The sequence below is a fragment of the Homo sapiens genome, chromosome 7 (genome assembly GCF_000001405.40).
Source record: "Homo sapiens chromosome 7, GRCh38.p14 Primary Assembly".
NCBI lineage: Eukaryota > Metazoa > Chordata > Mammalia > Primates > Hominidae > Homo > Homo sapiens.
This window is the reverse complement of record NC_000007.14, coordinates 132,568,801-132,592,364: the sequence shown is the minus strand read 5'-3', so window position 1 is coordinate 132,592,364 and position 23,564 is coordinate 132,568,801. Positions and strand designations below refer to the sequence as shown.

The window sequence follows — 23,564 nt, the reverse complement described above, 5'->3', positions numbered from 1 at the left end:
TAGCTGAGCCGCTAAGTGACCTCATGACTCTGTTTCTCTCCCTGCACCGCACTCCCATCTTTGTCTCTTGTCCACCGCAGAGGTGATGCTGGGAGGAAGAAAGAGAGGCTCTTTCTAAAGTGCTTTGAGTAGCTGCAAAGGAAGATGAGGGCAGATGGAATGTAGATATGGGCAATTCTCATTTGTCCATGCTAATGGGAGGCAGGGTTCCCAGGGAGAAATGAATTGCACAGAGAATGCCCAGACCTTGAGTTTTAACTCTCCCTTTCCTGAGGGGACTTTCACCTCATGAGCTGGCGGGTCACCTCTCTGGCTGGCTTTGCTTCTCCTCCTCTCCTTGCTCTTGTTCACCCCTTCACAGAAGTTCCCACCAGCCAAGACACATACGGAAGATGAACAGCAGGTGGAAAGAGGAGAAGATGCTGGGGGTTGTGGTAGCGATGTGATAATAGCTCCCGGGAACTGCTTGTAGGATGCAGCGCCTGTAATCCTGTTTTCTGGGAGAGGGATTTGAGGTGCCAAAAGAGCACATAATACGCAGCATTCTGAGAATGGAGTTGGGAAGGACTGTGGCAGATGCCGACCCTTGCCATTAAAAATGGCAACACTAATGCATCTGAAAGGGAGATGGAGACAGCCTTTGCTGAGGACCCAAACGCTCCTAGTCCTGTGCTAAGTCCTTTATATGTGTTATGTTTTTAAGAAAGTGTTTCCAAGCATACAAATAAAATCTGGACCCTTACCAGTAAATTTTTTGAGCATTTCCAACATATACACATGTATGTATTTATAAGATATATATAGTCTATTGTTGTAATGCATTATGTATATTATATGCACAACTGTATATATTTTAAAAGAATGAGAAAAATAAATAGAAATAGAAGCTACAATACTTTTGTACTGCATCCTTGTGGAGTCGTGGGCAGACATTAGGCACTCATAATTCACTCTGGCAATTTGTGCTCTTCACAGCCTGCTTGAGAGATAAGATAGGTGTTGTCACTTCCGTCGTATGGATGAAGAACCATGGTGAAGATTGTTTGAGTGATTTGATGAGGGCTGGGATAGTAACCCGTGTCTTCTGAATCAATTACAGTGCATTCGCTTTTCTTCCCTCTTGTCCCCAACATGGGCCCTGTGTTTCTGTGGCCCACCCTTCCCTCCATCCCCTGTTCCACGGCTCTCCATGTTGATTGCATCTGCAGAGGATGACACCTTGACTCTTGATTAGTCCAAATCAGTGTTAGTGATCCCATGCCTCCTTTCCAGATGCTCTTTTTCCCAGCCTCCCTTGCAGCTTGGAGTGTCCACATGACCCAATTCTGGCCAATCAGACATGCAGGAGCACTCTGAGAAGTTTCACTTGCTGTCAGAAGGGAGCACTGGGGAGGAGATGCAAAGAAAGTAGGAAGAGAGACTGGGTCCTTGATAACTTCACTGAGTCCCTGCACCAAGCCCGGAGCCACCTACCTCCAGACTGCTCTCCTGAGATATTAAATGTCTTACTGCTTGAGCAGCTAGATGAGTGTGATGGTTAATATTGAGTGCCAACTTGACAGGACTAAAGGATACAAAGTATTGTTCCTGGGTTTGTCTGTGAGGGTGTTGCCAAAGAAGATTAACATTTGAGTCAGTTGGACTAGGAGAGGCACAACCCACCCTCAATCTGCGTGGGTACCAGCTAATCAGCTGCCAGCACAGCCAGAATATAAAGCAGGCAGAAGAACGTGGAAAGACCAGACTGGCTTAGTCTTCTGGCCTACATCTTTCTCCTGTGCTGGATGCTTCCTGCCCTCAAACATCAGACTCCAAGCTCTTCAGCTTTTGGACTCAGACCTTTCACCACAGACTGGAGGCTGCACTGTCGGCTTCCCTACTTCAGAGGTTTTGGGACTCAGCCTGGCTTCCTTGCTCCTCAACTTGCAGATGGCCTATTGTGGCACTTCACTTTGTGATCGTGTGAGTCAATACTCCTTAATAAACTCCTCTTTATATATACATCTATCCAATTAGTTCTGTCCCGCTGGAGAACCCTGACTAATACAATAGGCATTTTGTTACTTTCAGACAAAGGCCTTCCTAACTGACTTAGTCTCTATTTCTAATCGGCACCTTCCTTCCTCAGTTCATTTCCTCAGTTACCTTCTGTGCCTGTGCCTTAGTTCACTTTTATGGAACCAGGCTTGGTTCATATAGCATAAGAAGTCAGATGACCCAGAGGTCTTTTCAGAGCTACAATAGATTTTCCTAACTCTTTTCTGTTATCTTTCCCAGTTGAATTGTTATGTGTGTATTTGCATGTTCCATTTCTTTCCCTTGCATAGTTCTACCCACATTGACCCTTTCATGGTTCTTTGGAACCAAGTATTTTCCCTCCTCTGTGTCCCACCTGGAACTGAGTATTTTCTCTCTTCTGCGTCCCACCTCACAGCCTTTGCACTGGCCACTCCTCTGTTTCATCTTCTCTCGTCTGCTGGCTCCTTCTTTTCCTTCCAGTCCCAGTCCAGATGTCACCACCTCAAGGAAGTTGTTCCTAGCAGTGTATCTCCACTCTTCACAACACCATGTTTTAGTTTTCTTCATGTGAATTACCACTGCAAGAAGTTCTATTGCTAGTTCATTTCACTCATTACATCTCACCCCCATCCAGAATGTATGTTGCACAAGAGCTTTGATCTCCACTTTATCTGCAGCACCTAGAGCAGTACTTGGTATAAACTAGGAGCTCACAGTGTATTTTTATAAAAAATGAATAAAAGAAAGAATGAATAGATATGAGGTGTCTACTCACCTGAGTCCTTGGTTTTCTTCCTCAAGGGTATATTTGAGTGTTTATAAATGGGGATACTAAAAGCTAGAATAATCAGAGCTTCCTGTGCAACATGCTAGTTAAATAATATGCTATCATCAACTTTCTATAATTTAAAATCTTAACTTAGAAGAACATATATAAACATTATTTCTTACTGAGTCTTATTTTTGAAACATAACAGCAGAGACAATATTAATAAAAATATATAGTTATAATTTAATATAGTGTTATGATCAGAATCAAGAAGAATTGCATTCTAAATCGACACTCTCTCCCTCACAATCCCACACTACTGGGAGAATACTTATATCTTGGCATTAACAACAGACTACTACAGCTATTTGTTTACCGTTTTGTCCCCTACTCACCTGAAACCCCCTAAGGGTAGTGACTATGGCTGAAACAACTTTGATCTGCAGCATAGTGACATATGGTAGGCATTCCATAAATGTTTTTTTCAATGGATGATTCTAAACATGATATGAGTTACATAAAATATCCTGTTGGCATATTTTGCTCTACAATTACAATGAAGTTTTCTAAAATAAAAAATCTTTATAGTCCCATGAAAATCTGTACTATCTCTTTTGGTTTTTTGAAGATACCTTTATTATTGTCATCATCACTCCTCTCTCTATTTCTTTCTCTCTCCCTTCCCTACCTCTTTCCCCCTTTTCTTCCCTTTCTCCCTCCTTTCTTGTTTCCTTCCTTCCTTCCCTCCTTCCTCTTTCTTTCTTTTTCTTTCTTTCTTTCTTCTTTCTTTTTCTCTCTTTCTCTTTCTTTCTTTTTCTCTCTTTCTCTCTTTCTTTCTTTTTCTTTTTTTCTTTTCCTTTTTTCTTCCTCTCCCCTCCCTCCCTCCCTCCCTCCTCCCTTCCCTTCCCTTCCCTTCCCTTCCCTTCCCTTCCCTTCCCTTCCTTCCTTCCTCAAGGTGTGTTCTCTCTTCCTGTAGTTTTTATGTCTGAATATGCATGAAGAATTAGGGAGGGAAATTATGATCATGCCTGAAAGATATTGATAAAGCCACCAGGGAGGAAAATATGGGTGCTTTAGTTTTATTTTCTGGCGAAGAAAGTGATGCCAGTGTTGATAATACTGATTGCAGTACAGGAGGAAGCATAATTGGGAATGGCAAAGAGACATTTAGACAAAATTTGGAACTCCTGCAGAAGAAGTCAGCACACATTCTTTCACAGACAGGTGCATTGATGACAGAATAATTTCTCCCAAGGGAGAGATAAGAATGCCATTGTTCAGGTCATTTAAGACAAACTAGAGGAGGAAAAAGCAGTAATTATTTTTAGTTTGCAGAATGTCCACAGTGTAGTTAGGCATAGGACAAAAACCTGTCCAGCCTCCAGGTTCACAGTCCATAGGATGAGATGACACTACCTGACACTGAGTTCATCGCCTGAGGCCTCTGTGGGACATTAAGATCCCTGTTCTAGCTTTCAGGACCTTATTAACTGTTGAAGCCTTCAGAGGGTTAAGGGAGTAGGAAGAGAGAAATGGAAAGGGTCCCCCAAGGAAAGGGAGAGACCACCTAGAGAAAAGGGAGACAAAAGGAGTCTGGACATAGAATGAAGAAAGACCAGGAACTCTGGGGAGTGTGGAATGGGAAGAAGATTTGAAAACCAAAGAGAAAAATAAATAAAAATTCAGAGCCCTGGATTATATGAATATCTAGTAGACAAATGGAACATGGAGGATGAATTCATATGGACCAGCACCAAGCAGAAGATGGTGCATCTGATGAATGAGGTGTACAGTGCAGAGTGGGGAGAGGCAGGGTTTAATTGAGTTCTGTACCTGCCTCTTCCCTTCGTCCCACCCTTGGCCTTATGTTTCTGGCTTCATCCTTGACTTCCCTCCTTAGTAATGGTCTTGGGTGGGATATTGGTTCTCTTCCCTAGGAATTACCCCCAAAGCATTCCGGTTCCACCTAATAAATATCTACTGAGTCAATGCAAAGCTTATGGCACCATAGGGCATACAATGATAAATACAGAACAACAAACGTCTCAAACCTCTAGAGACATCAGAGTCATTCAATCCAAACTCTAGTCTTCACTTGAGTGTCCCCTGGTTTCTGCCTGACCACACGAAGTGATGGAGAACTCACTACCACTCAAGACAATTTATTTTTTCTTTAGAGAACTCTATTAGAAAGACATTCCTCACATCAAGCCAAAATATGTCTAAATAAGATAAGTTCCATTCTCTGATCCTACTTTCACATCTTGAAGTTACACAGAAGGAATGCAGCAGCTCTTCTCTTTGACAGCCCTTCAAATATTTGAAGCTGTTATGTTCCCTTGAGCCTTACTTCTCAAAGCTGAACATCACCAGTTACTTTGATTGTTTCCAATTAATTCCCTTCTGGGCTCGGCCACTCTCTCCTGAATGTGCTCAAACTTATCATAAAGTGCTGAAAGTGTGGGGCCTTGAGCTCTACACAATAATGCACGTATAGTCTGCCTATCTCAAAGTTGAGCGGGACTGCTTCCTTTGGGACTCCATTCTCTTTTAATACAGCTTACGATCCCATTGACTTTGGCAGTATTTCACTATTGATTCATATTGAGCTTATTGTCAACTTCAGCTCATACTTTGTTTTTGGTTTGAGACAAGGTCTCACTCTGTCACCCAGGATGGAGTGCTGTGGTGCAATCATGGCTCACTGCAGCCTTGACCTCCTGCCTGGGCTCAAACAATCCTCCCACCTCAGCCTCCTGAGTAGCTAGGACTACAGGCACATGCCACCACACCCAGCTAATTAATTTTTTTTATTTGTTTGTTAGAGATGGAGTCTCACTCTATCACCCAGGTTGGAGTGCAGTGGCACCATCTCGGCTCACTGCAACCTCCGCCTCCCAGGTTCAAGTGATTCTCCTGCCTCAGCCTCTTGAGTAGCTGGGACTACAGGTGCCCACCACGATGCCCGGCTAATTGTTTTGTATTTTTAGTACAGAAGGGGCTTCATCATGTTGCCCAGGCTGGTCTTGAACTCCTGAGCTCAAGAAATCTGCCTGCCTCGGCCTCCCACAGTTCTGGGATCATAGGCGTGAGCCACCATGCCCGGCCTGAGTGCCATATATTTTCAAATGCAGATCTGTTAAGCTCTCTCACCTTTTTTATTCCTTAGAATGATACCTCAAGACAACACCAAAATGCCCGTCAACACCCAAAATGCCCAACATTCAGCAAAAGTTTCTTTTTCTTTAGGATGGAGCAGGATTGCAAATACTTACATTTAATATGTTTCTTTTATTGCAATCATAGACAAATCTGATGACCATGTCTCCTCTATCTTTATCCAAGTCATTAGTAAATGTGTTGAATAGGATTAGTCTGAGAACAGAGCTCTGACATATACCCTAAGAAAACCGTCCTTCATGTTGTCTTTGATGCATTAATGAACATCTTTGGGGTTTAACCATTGAGTCAATTAATTCACCAGCCTACATTGCCTGGTGTTCTACAAGGATTTTATTAAAGAGTCTATTAAATGCCTTGATGCAGTTCAGATATTCTCTCTTACGTTTCCTTGATATAAAAGCCTCACAGCCTTGTTGAGTTAGAGAGCAACACCAGCCTAACCAAGTTTGTTCTTCGTGATTGCTATGGACTAAATGTGTCATCCCACTCTCAATTCGTATGTTGAAGCACTAACCCCCCAAGTTGGGGCCTTTGGGAGGTAATTAGGTTTAGATGAGGTCATGAGGGTAGAGCCCCCACCCATGATGGATCGAGTCCTTATAAAAAAGAGGAAGAGTCACTTGAGATCTCTGTCTGATTGAATGAACCAAGGAAGAGCCATCTGAGGACATAAACAGGAAAGGAGCCATCACCAAGTACCTGACCATGCTGGCACCCTCATCTCAGACTTCCAACCTCCAGAACCATAAGAAATAGATATTTGTTGTTAAAGCCACCCAGAGAGTGGCATTTCATAACAGCAGCCCCAAATGATTAAGACAGTGATTCCAGACTTACTCCTAGTGATCAATCACATCCTTTTCTAAATAATTACCACATCTATCTTTTAGTGATCCAATGGTCACTTTGGGGGCCAGGCTCATTTGTTTGTGTTTTTCAGAACTCACATTATTTTCCCCTTTTGCAAAACTGGAATGCCATTTGCCTGTCTCTGGCTTTTCTTTGTCTCTCCCTACACAGTTCCTGATAACATTAATAACACTATGGAGCTTTCACCTGTTGCTATCTAAATGTTTCCTGGCATCATCCTATTTTTGGCCTGTACCATGTCTGAGTGTTAGTTTCCATGAGTTTACTGACTCCAATGTAGAAGGATATTTCCTTTGACTTGATCTAAAGCTGCTTGCTTTAGCATAGAAAGGAGGTGCTGGAGCATCCCTGGAATATCCCTATAATCAATCTAGTGCCAAACAGAAGTTCTCTGGCCAAGTAGGATACTGGCTGGTCTTTAGGAAATGAGAGATGAAGTCTCATTCTCTGGGACGTTTACCAGATCCACCGAGCTGTCTGCCTAGGCAGACAGGCTGCTGCGTGACCTTCACGGCAGCCCACAAAAGAGGAGCAACAGGGTGCATCTAGTAGGAAACTAGAACAAAGGCAAGCTCGAATATGATACAGATGGGGTGGAGGAGTGGTTGGCTGGATTTGAGAAGAGAGAGTGAGCAGAGGACTGGCGGTGTGACAAAGATGTTTTTAGCAGCAGTTTTTTTTGTTCATTTTCAACTAGCTTTTTGAAAAATGGAGAACGTAGTACTTGCACGTGGTAAAACGTCAAAAAGAAAAAAGAATATACAATAAATTAAGAAAATACATATCGCTCTGTTTCTCACTCAGGTTTCTGCTGTTAAGTTTTTTGTGTATCCTTCCAAAATGTCCTATGTATGTACAAGCCTATTTTGTATATTCAAAATATGCAAAGATATACACGAATACACTGTTCTGCATTTTGCTGTTGTTTTTCAGAGCAGCATACATAGATTTACTTCATTTTGTTTTCATTTTGTTTTACATCTGCACCATGTTCTGTGGTATGGATGTATGGTAATTTTAGTGCAGTGCTTTGAGGAAATGAAAATAGAATTTCTGCCAAACCCAGTGCACTAATCTTAAGTTTGAGGTGGAGGGAGTAAATGACAGGTGTTACCAGATGTACACTTCAAGCTTCCTACACACCCATGGGTCACGTCAGCATCTCTTGGCTCAGTTTACCTAGCAGGAAAGAATAACAATTTGATTTTAGTGTCAAAAACCACGAGTAAAGGCTCCTTACCTACAGGACTTGGAAAGAACAGTTAATAGAAAGAGTCCATATTAATATTTTCTTTTAATTAAAAGGTGGGGTATGGACAGAAAGAAACTCCTACTCTGACCCTGAACTGGGCTGATGCAGTTCATGTATCTGATGGGTTCCCATGCAGAATCATTTGAGAACTGGGCAGGCCTGGGCTGACCTGTCTTATCCAGGCCCATCAATGACCCTGCCAGAAGTGTGCTGGCAGGTGTTTAACAACCAGCTCTCCACAAAATCAAAAGTCCCAATTTGTAGCATGTGCCTATTCCCATAGTGCAAATACATCCACAGTGGCTGATTTCCAGCAGCTGGCCTGGCATCGCTGGTTGCAGAGTTGGGAAGATATGGCACGATTGGCCCTCCCCAACCCTCATGTGCTACCACACACCTCTGTGGACTTCAGGCTTCGAGGGTCCCTGCTCTCTCTGGACTCCACAAGGGACATCTCACATTTGTGAAGGTTACAGTCAGCAGGCGTGCGTTAGGAGAAAGCCCTTTAAAAACAGAGGAAGAATATAGGGCCTGGCCAGGAAAATAGGGCCAGAAGGAGAATGGAGCCAGGCCACAGAGTCCTGGAGGCAGACACTAAAGTGGAGAGAGGTCACCTTGGGCCTAAGCACTGTCCTCAGAATCCCTAAGGCAACTGTCTGCGGCTCTTTCTCTGCTTTGCATAGGCACTCCTGTCCCTTCATTCTTCTTCTTTGCCTCTTTCTTCCCTTCTTCTCTCGTCCTAATCCTTGTATATGCCTTGGCCCTGCTGATAGCTTGCAGGCTCCACTGAGCTCTCTGGAAGCTGCTGAGGGCACAGGAGAGAAGGTGATGCGAGAAGTCCTCAAGGAGAATGGTGTGGAGGGAAAGTGGACGATCAGCTTTCAATCACATCTCGCTTCTAGTCTCTTTTTACTCTACCTGCCATCTATAGGAAGCATCCTTGGGCCTCCCTCCTGCCCTGTGGTGTAGCACGGGTTAGGATCAGATGTAGGGAACACTTTCAGCACCACTGGGCCTGGTGCTTGGTGGGTGCAAGGACTCACCCTGGAGCCCCATTCAACCTCACCTCCAAAAGGCTCTCTGGCAGAGGCAGGTGCCAGACAGCTCGTGAAAGTGAACAGGACTCGGCACAACTTTCTGCCTCTCTCTTGAATGTCTCTGATGGCCAATACTCTGGAACTGAACTGACGATGGCCCATCTTAAGTGAGTGCTGGATTTCAGTATTCTGTTTGTGGATGCTTTCAAGCCTCTTCATTGGGTTTTCTCATTTCTGTGTAACACACTGAGATGTACTAAGAGGTTTAACCCCGGAGCTCTGAAGGGAGTGACTGGCAGGACATCTATTGGTGCCCAGTCCTGCCCAGTATGAGACTATCATGCATCAAGCATGCCCCACTTTGTCCTTCTTATTCTACAGCCAAGTGGGCTCAAATAATAAGCTTAAGAGGTTAATGAGGTCAAGGTCAGAGGAATGATATCTTCCCTGCAAATCACTGTGTTTATTATCTGCTACTGCATAACAAATCTCTGGCATAAAACCATATCTTATCTCTGCTCCATGATGTCTGGGACCTCAGTTGGAAACTTCTGAAGGCTGAAATCATCTGAAGGCTTAACTGGGGCTGGAGGATGGGCTCCTAGGGTGGCTCACTCATGGGGCTGGCAAGCTGGCACTGGTTGTTGGTGGGTAGCTCAGTTTCTCAACACATGGCAGGTCCAAGGGACTAAAGAGACCAAGCTGGGAGCTAAAATGTCTTTTTTTGACCTAGCCTTGGACACTGTCACTTCATGGTCACTTAAGTCAGCTCTGATTCAGCATGGGAGCAGACTGTATGAGGGCATGAATACCTCTGGTTGAGAGTCACTGGGGCCATTTTGGAGGCTGGCAACCACAGTCACTTAGAACAGCTTACACTCAGACCACCTGGCAACCATCTTGTAAATGTGTTACCAGGCAAGAGCATTCAACCCATCAGCACGAATCCATCTTCATCACAAGGAAAACAACTTGAGGCCTTTTCTGTTATGTGCACCCCAGTCAGAGGGGCCAAGTGACTCATTTAAACTACTTAGCCAGTGTACTAGGCAGTGCCAAGAGAGAGGTGCCATGTGGGAGACGTGAATTGTATCCAGTCCTTGTAATGCAGGCATACTACGGGACCTTGTGCCTCCCAGGACTTAACCCCAAGAAGGGTTACACTGAGGTATTTCTCCTTTCTTGTTGTAGCAAGACATGGCTCTGGCCAGATCTGGGACTCTCTTCTTTCTGGCCAATGGAGTTAAGTCACACCCCCTCCCTCCCTCCATCTCCCCTTACCTCACAATATCCTCTAACTTCTGGTTTCTGCGGTTAAAAAGACAAGTTTTGTTTGTTTGTTTGTTTGTTGTTTTTGTTAGTTGAAAGAGAAGGAAGCATTCTGGAGAGGGGGCAGTGGATGAAAGGGTCTGGGGAGGAAGGGGAGTAAGACTTGGACCATGGGAGGCATGGGAGTTATTTTGGTGCCCAGAGGATCAAGATCCACAGTGTGTGTGTGTGTGTGTAGGAGGAGAGGGGTGTCCTCCCCACCTAAACACCAACCCCCCGGTGTGGCTTGGAAAGCCATGGCACGGCAGCAGAGCTTGCCATGTCCAGCAGTGCAGCCGGGTGGAGGTGCCCTTGCAGAGGGCAACCACAGAGCTGGCAATGCAGAGATGTCCTTCCATCAAATGGCTCATGGGCAGTGGATTTCCAAGAGGGTACTTGTGGTGAATGAAATGGTCAGACTTGTTCCTAAGCACACCCACCAGTGGCGGTCTCTGACATAATGGGAGGAGACAGGGAGGGGTTTTTCAGTGGTGGCCAAAGTTTTATCTGAGCAGAAAAGGCTGGGAGTTGAAATTCGGATGTTAATATCTCTGTGCTGATTTGCACCCACATGCTAGGGAAGCCTGGAACAGTTGGGTCTACTGAGAATACCCAGCCACCAAGTTCAACTTACTAGTAGGCCCTGTGGTGACACAAGGATGTTCCTCCCCTCATCTTCCTTGAAAGGCAGTCACTTCTCCTTTCTGTTTTACTGTTCCATGGTCCAGTCTTGAAGACAGAACCCTTGGCTTAGAGGTCCACTTAGTCCCTTAGGAGACAGATGGAAGAATAAGTTAGTTTGAATGGACTGAGAATCTTGAGAGCTGCTGCCCATCCCTCGAAATGGCAGCATTCAAGGAGGATGCAGATTAAAGGCTGCTGGAGTGTGCTGTGGACATGTGGTGACACATGCAGAAAGCAGGGGCCAGAGGGCACCCTGGCCTCACCTGTGTCACTGCGGAAGGCTCCTCTTGCCTCCTCTGCTGAGCTGTGGGATACTGATGATATTCCTGCTGTCCTGCAGGTGGCGCCACAATTTAGGTTTTTAAGCTGCTGACTGCCTGCCTGTGGTTTTTCTATCCAGTGCAAGGTACAAGACCCAGCCATGGGGGCAGCTCTTGGGGGAAAGAAAATGTCTCTCTAGCACCACCAGGCTCTGGTGATTTATTTAACGAGCAAATCTGGCTTTTATCAACTTAAATAGCAGCACTGTTCCTAGGCTAATAAAATGGTGGTAGCTAAGTGAGGGGAAACTTAAGAGTTTCTTCTCCTCTTTCCTATTAAACTGGTCCTTTTATTCAGCTGTGGGAGATGAACCAATACTTTTTCTGTCTAAACCCAGCAATAAACCCCAACCCAAGTCCCACAGACATAGCTTCTTTAGAAAACAGGACTCTCTGAAGCAATGTGCCATTTAGCTTCTCCCTCTTGTGGCCATGGGTCCAGACAATGACATAACCAGTTTCACGACCAGGCAAGAGGTAGAGGGAGTGACTCACAGAGCCATTGTCAGTAGGGGACACCTAGATGGTCCTACTTGTGTCTCCCTTAGCCCTCACCAAGGGAGAGGGGGTAGAGGAGGTGTGAGAGCCAGAAGATCTTGTACCTAATGCAGAAACACATTTTGAACTGTGGTAAGATGCTGCTTTTGCCTGTGTATTTATTCTTGGGGTGGGGACAAGATAGCAGAAGGCCTACCCTCATTGTATCATTCTATTTGAAAAAAATAAAAAGATACATTCATCTGGAAAGCGACTCTAATTCCCTACATGTGTTTTGTACCTACCTTAGAGTTTCAAAGCACATTAATAAGATGGTATGTCCTTTGAATGTCATTGCAACTCTAAGGGGCGAATGTGTCAGGTGAGAGATGAGGTATCATTGAGAGGACGTGACCCGCTCCAAATTGTAAAGCTGGCCAATGACAGAGCCAGGAGTAGGACATGTGTTTTCTAACTTCCAATGTAGAGGCCCTACTCATCCCACCCCATTCCATTCTCCTAACTTAAGGGAGTCAATCCAATGGGTCATCACTGAAAAAAAAAAATCCTCTACTGCAGCTAATTTGACCCTTTCTACTCCTCCTTCCGATAATATGATAACTGCCCCCTTTGGTATGCCTTTTACCGTGTTATTCAGTGGAAGGCAACCGGGGAAAGGCAATTTGAGATATGGCCCCTGGCCCCATTAACAACGGGAGAGCTCGCTGGGCCCCTCACCTGCCCGTGGCTGGTCCAGCTTTTTGCTGTGTGTCTTCCCTGTCATTTGGCTCTGTTATTACTCTTCAGGCACCACATGGCATTCATTTCTTTGAATGAAAATAAATGACACCACACACTAGGCAGGAGATAAAGAATAATAAACACATTTTATTTGCCACCTCTGGAAAAAAAAAAAAAAAAAGGTCTTTGACTTCCCGTCCATCCATCAGGAAATGGGCCTGGAACTCAAGCCATATTCACACACACACGCACACACACACACACACGCACACACACACAAATACAACCGATATGAGGAGGAAAAAGACAATCAGATTGTATTAAAAATACATGCTAGAATGACTGAGAATTGAGACAGAGTTGTTTTCTCACCTTCCCCCCTTCCTTTCAGCATTTTATGACATACCCTGAAAGCTGAGTGGCCAACAGAAGTTTGAAAGGAGTCTCCCCCGCGCCTTTAATTGAACGATATTCCTTAAGTAACCCATTAGGGACTTTCATGGGGCTATCCGGGCTGTCACTTCTGGAAATGGGCCGTGATGGACCCATGCAGCAATTTTAAAAGGGACACCTAGAAGCAGTGTCAGGATCAGGTGATGCAAACCTTACATGGACCTTGGGGTGACAGGGCCTCCTTGGATTTTGTATCCTCAGTGCCCGGCTGGCCTTGTGCTAATCCCAGTCTTGCAGAGAGAGGCATTTGGCCCTGGGCTTCCTCCACCCTGGAAGGATGTTCAAGAGGCAGTAGCATTGAGTGATTTTGTTATGTGTGTCTCTGGACTTCTGAAACTAACCTGATATTGTGTGCTTTATCTAGAGTCTGGGATTCAGGGTTTCTGGGAAGAGTGGAGTCAGATCAATGTATTCATGTAAGCTTAATAAGATAACTCCTTGCTGCTTTCTGGGCCATGCAAGACTCAGCAGAGAACCAGAGACTAAAAGGGCTCCACGCTGTCTCCTGGAATATCCTTTAACCAAAGAATCAAACATGTGGTTTCCTCCTCATTCTGGCTTGGTTCATCTTCTCATTGGTGAGAGCAAAGTTTCAGCAGGGTCCTCTCTGGGTGGGCCAAGCCTGACCTATATGTGCCGCTCACCTTGGGGCTTGTTTAAGCTGTCATCTCACAGCTCCTTTCAAAGGCTCCCCAATTCACACAACTTCGATTTCTGTGAGAATATAACCCCTATAGGGAGGTATAGGCATTTAAGCCATTATCAGTCATGTCCACCTAATAAGGAGGCTCTGAGATGTTTCGATGGGAGGGACAGTAATGGGCGGGAGTTTCTGGGTGTGAGGACAGTGAAAACTAAAGAAGGGACAGGAGAGAGGAGGCCAAGAGCCATGGGCTCCTTTAGAGGGTCGTCCTTGCTGGTTGCCTATCCCAGGGAATGCTTACTGGACTCTGCTGAAGGTGCCACTTCCCTCAGACTATGGTGGGAGCGGGTATGAGGATGAGGGTGGCATGCACAGAGTTGAGTTAACAGGTGTGGGAATCCCTTCGGTTTCTCTTGGTGGGTGGGCCCATTCCTAGGGGGATCTAGGCAGAGGTTTGGGAGGTAGTGCCACCCACTCCCCATCTTCACTGCCTAAACCAGAGCTACATGGTGATTTCTTTCTTTGGGCTTCAGAAACCACCCTGATGTTGGCATGGTCTGTTCTGGATGTAGTCTAGGATCTAGGGTTTCAGAGAAGAGAGGAGCCAGGAGAGCCGCTCAGTATAAACATGAATGGAAAAGTCAGGTTACCAAGCCAGCTCTGGGGCACTGGCCACTCATGTTCTCTCGTGCGGGCCTTGTGCCCTCAGTGTCCTCGGCCTCCTTGGGTGCCATGTGGGGGTGACTTGGTGGGGTGTTGGGAGGGGTTCTGACTAGCAATGGGTGTATGCCTCAGAGTCAGTGTGCGCTTGTGTCAGCTCTGAGCACCTGAGGGTCCCTCCGACGGCCAGCGCCCAGAGCTGCAAATTCCGAGGCGGCTGAGCGCCTCCCTCTGAGCGCGCGCCGTGCGCTCCGGTCACCCATGTATGCCCCTCTCTCCGCCCCACATCGCCACCGCCAGGGTAGCTCCGTGCGGGCCGAGGGGACCCAGGGGGGTGTCGGCAAACGTTGGTGCGGAGGAGAGCCGGCAAGCCGGGCGGCGGCGGGTGGGAGCATGTAGGGAGGCGCCCCCTGCCCCCTCTGCCGGCCGCTCTCCCTCGCTCTAGATGTCAGCCGCGAGCTCCGAGCCAGCGAGAGCGAGCCAGAGAGGGAGCGGCGGCGGGCGGCGGGCGGCAGGGAGGAGAGGAGGCGAGGCGAGGGAGGGAGGAAGGGAAGCAGGGAGGGCGGGAGGGAGGAGAGGAGGACCCAGAGAGCGCCAGGCAGCTGGAGTTTTTGCAGCGCTTGGCCGGGCTTCAATGCACAGCAGCAGCGAGCCGCGGCGGCAGCAGGCAGCCCGGGAGCTCCGGCGGCGGCCGAGCCAGCGGCGGCCCCGCTCCCTGCCCCCTGCAAACTTTGCGAGCAGCCCGCCCGGGGGGCCGGGGGCGCGCCCGGGAGGCCCGGCTCGGCCCGCGGCCGAGCTCTCCGCCGCCGCAGCGCCAGCCGCCGCAGCCACCACCGCCGCAGCCCCGCGCCTCCCCGGGGAGCAGCCGGCGGCTCCCGCGGCCCCCCAGCCCCGGCCCCAGGGCACTGCCCGGCGAGTGTCTCGGCAAGGGTGGGGGCTGCCGCGGCGCGGCCGGCCGCGGGCTGCCGGGGGGCGGCCGCCGCTACCCAGAGAGGCGCGCAGAGGCGCCGAGAGCGCTCCCCGGCGGGTCCCCCGCGCACTCGCCGCGCCCGGGCAGCGGCCCGACCGGGCGAGCATGGGCGGCGCGGAGTGACGCCGCTGTGCCCGCTTGGCATCAAGGACATTCAGCCCGCGGGGGTGGGGACGAAGGGGGGCAGCCCGGCGTCGCCACCGCAGCCCCCGAGAGCCGCCGCCGCTGCTCGGGCTCCGGGGCTGGGTGGAGGAAAGGGGTGTTCGGAATCGATCCCCATTTTCCGACCTTTTTGTTGGACATTACGCCCACCTTGGACGCCGCAAGAGAAGCTGTCAAGCCCCGCAGGCTCTGATTCGGCGCCCTCCGCGTTCCTCGGCTGCTCCCGGCTTCCCTGTGCCTCGGTGGAGTATTTGCGTTCGGGGCTGGGGCTGGAGGAGGCAGCCACACGCGCGCACACGCACACGTTCAGAGGAGGGCGAGAGGCAGCGGCATAGGCTCCATCTGCAGTGTCAATGCGGCGCTCCCGCTGAAGGAGGGAAACGCGGCGCGTCCAGGTAAGGAGCCGGCCCGCCGGGGAGTGGGGCCGGGCGGGCGGCGAGGGCAGCAAGGTCGGACAGACCTGGGCCGACCCGGGAGTCCTCAGTGTCCCGGAGCCAGCCCGCGGCACACGCACACGCACACACGCAGGCACACACACAGATCCACACCGGCACACACGGCGCTCGCGCACCTGCCCACGTCCCACCTGGACGCCCGCGGAGGTGCAGCGGCCGGAGCAGGGATTTCCCGGGTGTGTTCTCCTCTCACGCTCCTGGACTCAGACTTCTCTTTCCCGGGACTTTCGGGGTGGGATTCTGTGTATTCCCGGCTCTGCCTCCCACCCGGGGAGGTTGAGGGAGCAATTTTTCAGCTCCCAGCCCCTTTCGTCCCTAGCTGGGCTTTAAAATGGGAGAAGTCCTGAGAGGTTTCCGGAGACCTACCCAGTGTCATCGCGGCCCCGTGGCCTTTGGACACCCTGGGATTTCAACGGGAGACAGACCCACAGATATTCGGACGCATATTTGGAGAGAGTGGTGGCCCAGCGCCCGGGGAGGAGGCCAGATAGGCGGTTGGGGCTGCAGTTCTGTAGGGCGGCGCATATGAAACAGACACTGCGTTTCCCCAGTAAGAGGCAGCACAAACGCCTTTCTGAAGCGTGGCACTGCTTCCCCGGGAATGCGCCGAGATTTCAGGCAGAAAGCGGCTTAAAGCATCGCCGCGTATGTTGCTTGTCTAGGGAAGGTACGGGGGTCAGATCCTCCTTAAAAGGTAAGACCTTATTCACAGCCTCAGTGCCTGCTTAGCAGCAAGCAGACAGGACTTGGAGACACAGGACTTGGGTCCCCTCTCACCTCCCTACCCTCCCTGGGCACATGGGGCTGCCTTCCCCGGTGCCTCCGGCTGGCGAACACCTGTCACATGCCTTTCGTGGTGTGTGTCTGAGAAAGAGAACTAGAAGGGGGAAGCACGAGGGATATAGTCCTCCAAAAGAGGAGGCTCCCCTCCCTCACGACCGTGGCGGCACTGCCCACCGGAGAAGGCAAGGCATTCGTGGGTCTGCCAGCGTCCCCCAGAGCCCAAGCCTGCTCCGATTGTAGAATCACTCCCCAGACGCCCGTGCTTTAAGGTCCTATTTCCCGAAAGCATTTTCATTCTTGTTCTCTCTGGCTGGAATTTCACAGGCTGCTCATTTTAACTTTTTCTGGAGGAGGTAGGAAGTGGCTGGGGTTCTAAGAGGCTTTTCCATAGTTCCCTTCTTGGGGTCTAAGAGCAACTAATTTAGGGTCTCAGTTGTCATAGGGAGAAGAACATGAGATCCAAATCAAATTCGGAATTGAATATATATGTACAAGCTCCTGTGTTTCTGGTGCTGTCACTTTGAGGTAGCTTTCTAGGCAACATGATCATATCATTTTCCCACAAAACTGAATAAGCTTGTACCCTCTGTCCAAGATCATGTGTTCAGAGTATCCCACAGACCCACCAGTGGAAAAAATATGTTAGGAGCCTTACAGAACATGATGGAAGAGGAGCAAACATTCTTTTGAACAAGGAGGCCTCAGTGCTAGGCTCAGAATTTGGGTTGTTTTTGTAAATCCTGAAGATAGGGGCTGAATGAAAGGGCTTTTTCAGCACCCTGACTCCGCTATTTCCAAACTTTTTTCAGCTCCTGCAAAGGTCTCTGGCTAGGCTGGGGAGAAGCGCAGACACCCCGGGAGGGAGATTGTATTCCCGCTGTGTGCTGTGTGAGCTGCCCTTTGATTGATTGAAAAGCATAGATGGAATAAAGCAAATCTCTCACAATGGAGAGACCCCAGTAGGGGGAAGAAACCTTATTTGCTTTTTAAGAATGGTGGGCGTGTGCACACACACACCCAATATATATACACACATGCGTTCTCAGAGTCTGGCTAAATGTGGTCAGCTCCCCGCCCCCGCCATGTGTGACAATGGGGTCCACCTCTGTCTTCCGGGCTGTGGAAGAAATGGAACATTTCTCCCCACATGCCCCTTGAGGGCGTGGACAGGCAGATCCCACCTACGCGTACAGCAGCACATGGTTTGCAAAAGAAATAATGAGCTCCAGCAACAGTGGGTGCCTCCCAGGTAAACAGTCCCTCATGGGACCTGGAAGAGGCAAAGGGATAGGGTACAGGATCTTCCTGAAATGTCTGTGTCTTCCCTGTAGACCTCCACTCCTTTCTCTGCTTTCCTCCCTACCCTCTTTCCTTTCTCATGTATTCGCAGCCTCAGGATCCATCATTTTAATGCAAAGCTAGTATCATTATGCTGGTTATAAGCTAAACATCTGGGTTCAGAAAATCTCTGCACTTTCTGCACTTAGCATTAGGTACCAATTTGGTTTCTAGGACAAGGCAGGCATTAATTAACATCTCTGTAAAGCGGAGTATACATTACGTTTTCCTGGCTCTCTTGCCCAGCCCTGGAGCATGCCACGCTGTCATTCACCCTCTCTGCCACTCTTCTGTGCCCTTCCTTTTAAGTTCTCTGAGGTCTTTCTCACTGGGAAGGGAGTCACACTAGAAAAACCCCAGCCATGAATGCTTCTTTTCAGCAGACCCTCGCTGCCTGGTAGACGGTGCTTAAGGCAGCTCTCCTGTGAGCACTAGGCATGGGTCACCTACAAGCTGCTCCTTCTTACCCAATCACGCCTCCCCGGGCTCTCATCTGTCCTCCCAGGACTTCCTCCTGGATGCCCACTGGGACACTGCAGACATTTCTGGAGGACTCCAAGGCAGTCAACTTGTTTCCTTTCTCCTTCTCTGTGCCTTCCTGTCGCCTGCTGCTGCTACTCCCTGCAGACAGGGAAATCTGCACGGCAGAGTCTGCCTACATACACTTGGCCTCGGGATCCTTTTCATCACAATGAGGGCTGCTGGGAATGAAGTGGGGGCTTTCTAGGATGGCAGCAGTCCCGAAGTGGGAGAGAGCTAAAGGGGCTGGGTCATTAACCACTCTTGATTCATAGTTATCATCAGGCTTTGATGCAGAGAAATCGCTGTGGATCTCTCTCCTCCTAGCCAGCTAGGGGGCATTTCTTAGCTGCTTCTCCCCATCCTCACCTAGAGAAGGCATACGCAGACAATGCACATCAGAGACCTGTTGGAGCGGCTCTGTGGTGGGTTACAAGGGGGCGGCAGCAATACAGAAAACACGACCATGATCTTGGCTCTCATTAGACTATGCAACAGATGTGCCAGCGTCTCCTCTCTTCTTATTTGTGTCCAGTGCTACCCAATGTGAAACTGGCTCAGACCCTGGGCTATTGAGTAGGTTCATTTCCCTCCCTTGACACCTCCCTTCCTTTTCCTCCAACCCCCACTTCTCTGCCCCCACCACTTGCTAATCTACCTCTTGGCTTTGTGCGCACATCCGCCAGCCCATTCGCCCTCAAATTTGCGGCACTCCAAGAAATCAATATAACATGAATTTAACGACAGCTGGATGATTAAGTGTTATTTATATTTAAAAGCGGCATTTTAAAAAGACGTCTCACTAATAAATGGCTGTTTGGGAGATGCACATGATTAGGGTAATTGGCCTATAGGCTCTATCGAGCTATGCTTGGTCCACACAGGGCCCTGTGGACAGGACACTGTCTCTTTAAAAGCTGCAAGCTCCACTGCTCCCTCCCCAGACTCCCACCTGATCCCCTCTAGCTGCACAGACTTTTTCTTTCTTCTTTCATGTTGTCCTCACTGCCCAGGCTGTACCATTCAAGTTGCGGTAGGAAGGTGGAGCCCACAGGGAGACTGAAGGGGGCTCTGCTGCTGAGTGGTAAGAGATGGATTTTAAAACGAAAGGCAGGCAGGGGTCCTGATTCCCCTGGAACAAGAGCCCAGGCCTTGTTCCTGAAGGAGGAGGCTGCTTCCCTGCATGGCATGGAGCAGCCTGGAAGAAGAGTTTCCTGAGTCCCTATGTGAGTCTGTGTATGCCCCCACACACTTGTCCGGTCCTGTGGCATCAGCCTCCCAAAGGAAGAGGCTGTGAGGATGTTAGTACTGGCTTCAGTTCTTGTAAAAACAATGGAATGGAAGATGATAATTAATGATGATGGTGGCCAATATTTATTGAGCACTCATTTGGTTTAGATACCATTTAAGTAGTTTGCCTCATAACAACCCAGATAGGCTATTACGGTCCCTATTTCCTCCAGGAGGAAACTGAGATGCAGGAGGTTAAAGACTTTGTCCCAGATCACACAGCCACTTAGTGATGGAGCCAAGTCTCACTTGTGAGCAATCTGACCTTTCTCCTCATCACTGTGCTGGTTTCCTCCTTAGAATATATGTGCTCACTGTACTGCTGCCCCCTTGGGAGGTTTATGGGTGAGTGCTTGGGAGGAAGTTTAGAATATCTGGTCCCTAGTCTCTTGCACTACCTCTGTGATGCCAGGCAAATGTATTTATTCACTGAGCCTCGATTTCCCCATTCATCAAGGGGGATGAGTCTTCTCCTTGGCTGTTGGTAGGTTATAAAATTGCATGGATCATTCTAGCAGAATGCTCAGGTCCTGAGGGTGACTGTCACCTCATTTGGCAATTCCCATTTTCTCCCAGGAAAAAATGAGTAAATGAATGAATGAGTGAAGTTCCCATCTTTACTTTAGACTCTATGAGGCTCCAATTCTGATAGGAGTCTAATTCTCCCTGGTGACTGCTTCAAATTGCTAGTATTGTGGAAACAACACTTCCTCATTTCATCTTTAAAATAGCTGTGCAAGGTAGGTATTGTTTATTCCCATTTTGATAGCATAGAAGCTAAGGCTGAGAAGAGAGTTTAGGTGAGATGTCCAAGGCGCCAGGTTGCTAAGGGATGGATGGTTTTTTCACTCTTGGGCAAAGATTCTTACCATTACACCACTCACGGTAGGTACTTGACACTTGTTCATTCATTCATTTATTACTCCTAGAGTTTCTGACTTCAGGATCCAGAAGCAGGGAAGAAATCAGTGCCTAGGGACATCATGCGGTGCTGGGTGCCTGGATCCTATGGTGGTTGCAGCAGAGACTCATCGCATGTTGGTGCCAACGGACCATGTCAGGGGATAGCCATCCTGTAGCACTTAGAGGAATTTTGATAGGTCCCCATTTGCATGAAGAAAATAATTCAGACCTGAGATGGTGCAGGCTAAGGCAAGGCATTAGGAATTACATCCTGATGCAAAAAGGTGTGGGTGTGAATCCCTGAAGGAGCCCATGGGCCTGGTTGGGTTCTGTCCCACTCCAAAGCCAGGGCTAACCTCAGTCCCTCTGGTCTGAACATTTTAGGAAAAAGCCACAAGTGAGGCACTTTGGTTACTTGCCTTTTTTTTTTTCTTTTTCTCCAAAAGACAAACTTTTATTCCATGCATTATTTCTTTGACTTCTCTACACTGTGAGGTGAGTAAAAGTTCTGTCCAACTTGAGGTGGCTAGAAGGGGTGCACGTGGAATTTCATCACCTCCCCTCTGAGGCAGCAGTAGGAATGAGTGGATAAAACATTGGGAGGTAAAGTCCTGTGCAAACTGAAACCAACAGGTGTTGGAGAGATCTCAGGCATCCTCTCTTTTCCTTCTAAGCTTGGATCTTCCCCTCCCCCTCTATGGTGTTTCCTCCATGAACCAGGATTCGCAACAGCAAATTGGATTTTGGGATGTTTTGTCACTCCAACACAAAACAGATCACTAGCTAAGAGGATAGTCTCCGCAGTCAATGCGCTGAACACAGCCTCGCTGAATCAATTCCCGAGGTCTTACAGGGTAGAGTATTTTCATTATGAAGTATGAGGAGAGAAGCAGTGGAGGAAGAGGTCGCTGGAAATTTAGGACAGGAAAACCATGGCAGTTGAAAGGCTTTCCTGGTCTTCGCTCAAGATCAGTTCCTTATCTGACATACTCACTGAACTCTTCTCGAATGAGCACAGCTGGATTTCCCTTTTGGTAGTGTGGAGGCTCAAACTAGAAGGTGAACCAATCATTCCTTGGCTTTGACCCAGAGGCCAAGAGGAAAGAAGTAAGCAAGGCATAGCTGGTGGATTGCTTCCGTTCTTGTGGCGGGGTTAGAGAGTGAGAGAGGAGACAGTAGCAGACGTCAGGATGTGCAACTGAAGCAGCCTGCCTGGAATGTCAGCTAATGTTGCTAGAGTCAGTTGGAGTTCGTTTTCTTCCTCTCCATCTCAGGCCTGCTTTCCTGAAAGTAATACTTAAAATAGACTAGAGTTTCCCAAAGTATATTCTGCGGGGGAGTCAATAGGCATTACATGCAAAAAAGTTTCCGCAGTCAAGTAAGTTTGCAAAACCCTGGGTGTAAAGCAAAGCTAAAGATACTCCTTGCTGCAGGACTTCTCAGAGCCTTTAATACACTCACATGGATTGTGAAATCACAAAAGTATATAAACTGTGTAGTGGACCTGGAATCCACTGAGAAACACTGGACTAAGACAAGCACTTTGCTATGACTACTGTCAAATGTGAATAAAGGGGTGGCTTCTACAGTGAAAATTTCCACTGAACCTTTGCATTACGTAAACCAAGTACTGGATTCTGGTGATTGTGTGAGCAATAGATTCTCAAGCAGAATTGTGCCAGATAGGTACAGAGTCCACCTCTGGCCTCAGCATTTGCTCAGCCTTCTTCAGAGCCTATCCTGTCCCTTGTCTTTCCAAGGAAAGAGACAGCTACTTAGGCACGTGTCCATTTTCTTAGGTTCCTAGATGATTCCAATATGTCCCCTTGCTTAAAAACCACTGTTGTGGAAAAAGCTAGGCTTTGGATACAAATAGATGTAGATAACTCTAACTAAAGCATTTTGGGAAAAATCATTTTATGTTTCAGTTTATTGTTTATAAAATGAGGAGGTTAGTCTAGATCGGTGATTAAACATATTTTAACATGTATACAGTGAAAATCTTTGCTCCAGTGAAATTTTATATGGAATTCCAGTGCACAGAACAGATGCAAGCAGGACTATTCTTGTCAAAACTATGGAGGGCCTGGGCCTTGTGCCCCTGCCTGTCTGTCCTTCACTCCAGTCACAGCCTGGGTTCCCTAGAAAGTAGAGCTCAAGGAAGAAGCTATGTGTTATGACTTTATTGAGGGGTGAGATCCCGGGGAAGCAAAAATGAAGCAAAGGAGGAGAGGTAGGGAAGGAAGGAGAACAAATAGTGTATTACCAAGCTGGCCCTGCCTTCCCAGTGAAAAGCAGCTGGTGGCTCAGTCACTCAGGAGGTATCCAGGGAAGCCTGGTGTGAACAGTATGTCTCAGAATAGTCTGTGGTGGTGAGGCACAGCCAGCAGTTAATCCACAGGTCCTTCTGGTCTGCTGTAGCTCACTGGTCACAAGTCACCCCACGAGGCATGAGTCAACTCCCCTCACTTTGGGGTTGGGAATACCAGGTCAAGCTAGAGCCTCTGTGGGTCAGGCCCTGGGGCTGGGGCTTCCTTGGCTCTCCCTGCAGAAGGTATGTCAGGGTTACCCCTGCAGGAGCCCAGCCTTTGACTCTGAAGGAAGAAAAGACAGCAAGAACTTTAGGGCCAGAGGAACAGCAGAAAGCGTCACTGGGGGCCTCTTGTCCATTAGATACTGACTCTGTTTTCCTCCCTAAATACATATGCTTGCCCCTAACCACTGATTG

The 23,564-nt window shown here is 48.3% G+C and overlaps 1 protein-coding gene across 11 annotated transcripts in view, besides 3 other annotated features; it reads left to right on the top strand.

The window, feature by feature from the left end:
* Window positions 1-23,564, top strand: part of PLXNA4 (plexin A4) — a 525,349-nt gene that overhangs the window by 56,324 nt on the left and 445,461 nt on the right. For 10 of the 11 annotated variants that reach the window (XR_927546.3, NM_001393897.1, XM_017012779.1 and 7 more), the window contains exon 1: window positions 15,895-15,943. The exons of the other annotated variant lie outside the window; for it this stretch is intronic. The gene's annotated coding sequence lies outside the window, so the exon portion shown is untranslated. Of the gene's footprint in view, window positions 1-15,894; window positions 15,944-23,564 lie in introns of those variants that run through there. 11 annotated transcript variants of the gene reach the window in all.
* Window positions 11,393-11,562: a silencer, noted in NCBI's record as "silent region_18668". NCBI's record gives its function as "represses an Ori minimal core promoter by ATAC-STARR-seq in GM12878 lymphoblastoid cells {active_cell/tissue: GM12878}" and the evidence as "EXISTENCE:reporter gene assay evidence [ECO:0000049][PMID:35858748]".
* Window positions 15,456-16,433: an enhancer, noted in NCBI's record as "H3K27ac-H3K4me1 hESC enhancer chr7:132260691-132261668 (GRCh37/hg19 assembly coordinates)". NCBI's record gives its function as "activates a minimal SCP1, AML or CMV promoter by ChIP-STARR-seq in naive H9 embryonic stem cells {active_cell/tissue: H9 hESC(naive)}" and the evidence as "EXISTENCE:reporter gene assay evidence [ECO:0000049][PMID:30033119]".
* Window positions 16,434-17,411: an enhancer, noted in NCBI's record as "H3K27ac-H3K4me1 hESC enhancer chr7:132259713-132260690 (GRCh37/hg19 assembly coordinates)". NCBI's record gives its function as "activates a minimal SCP1, AML or CMV promoter by ChIP-STARR-seq in naive H9 embryonic stem cells {active_cell/tissue: H9 hESC(naive)}" and the evidence as "EXISTENCE:reporter gene assay evidence [ECO:0000049][PMID:30033119]".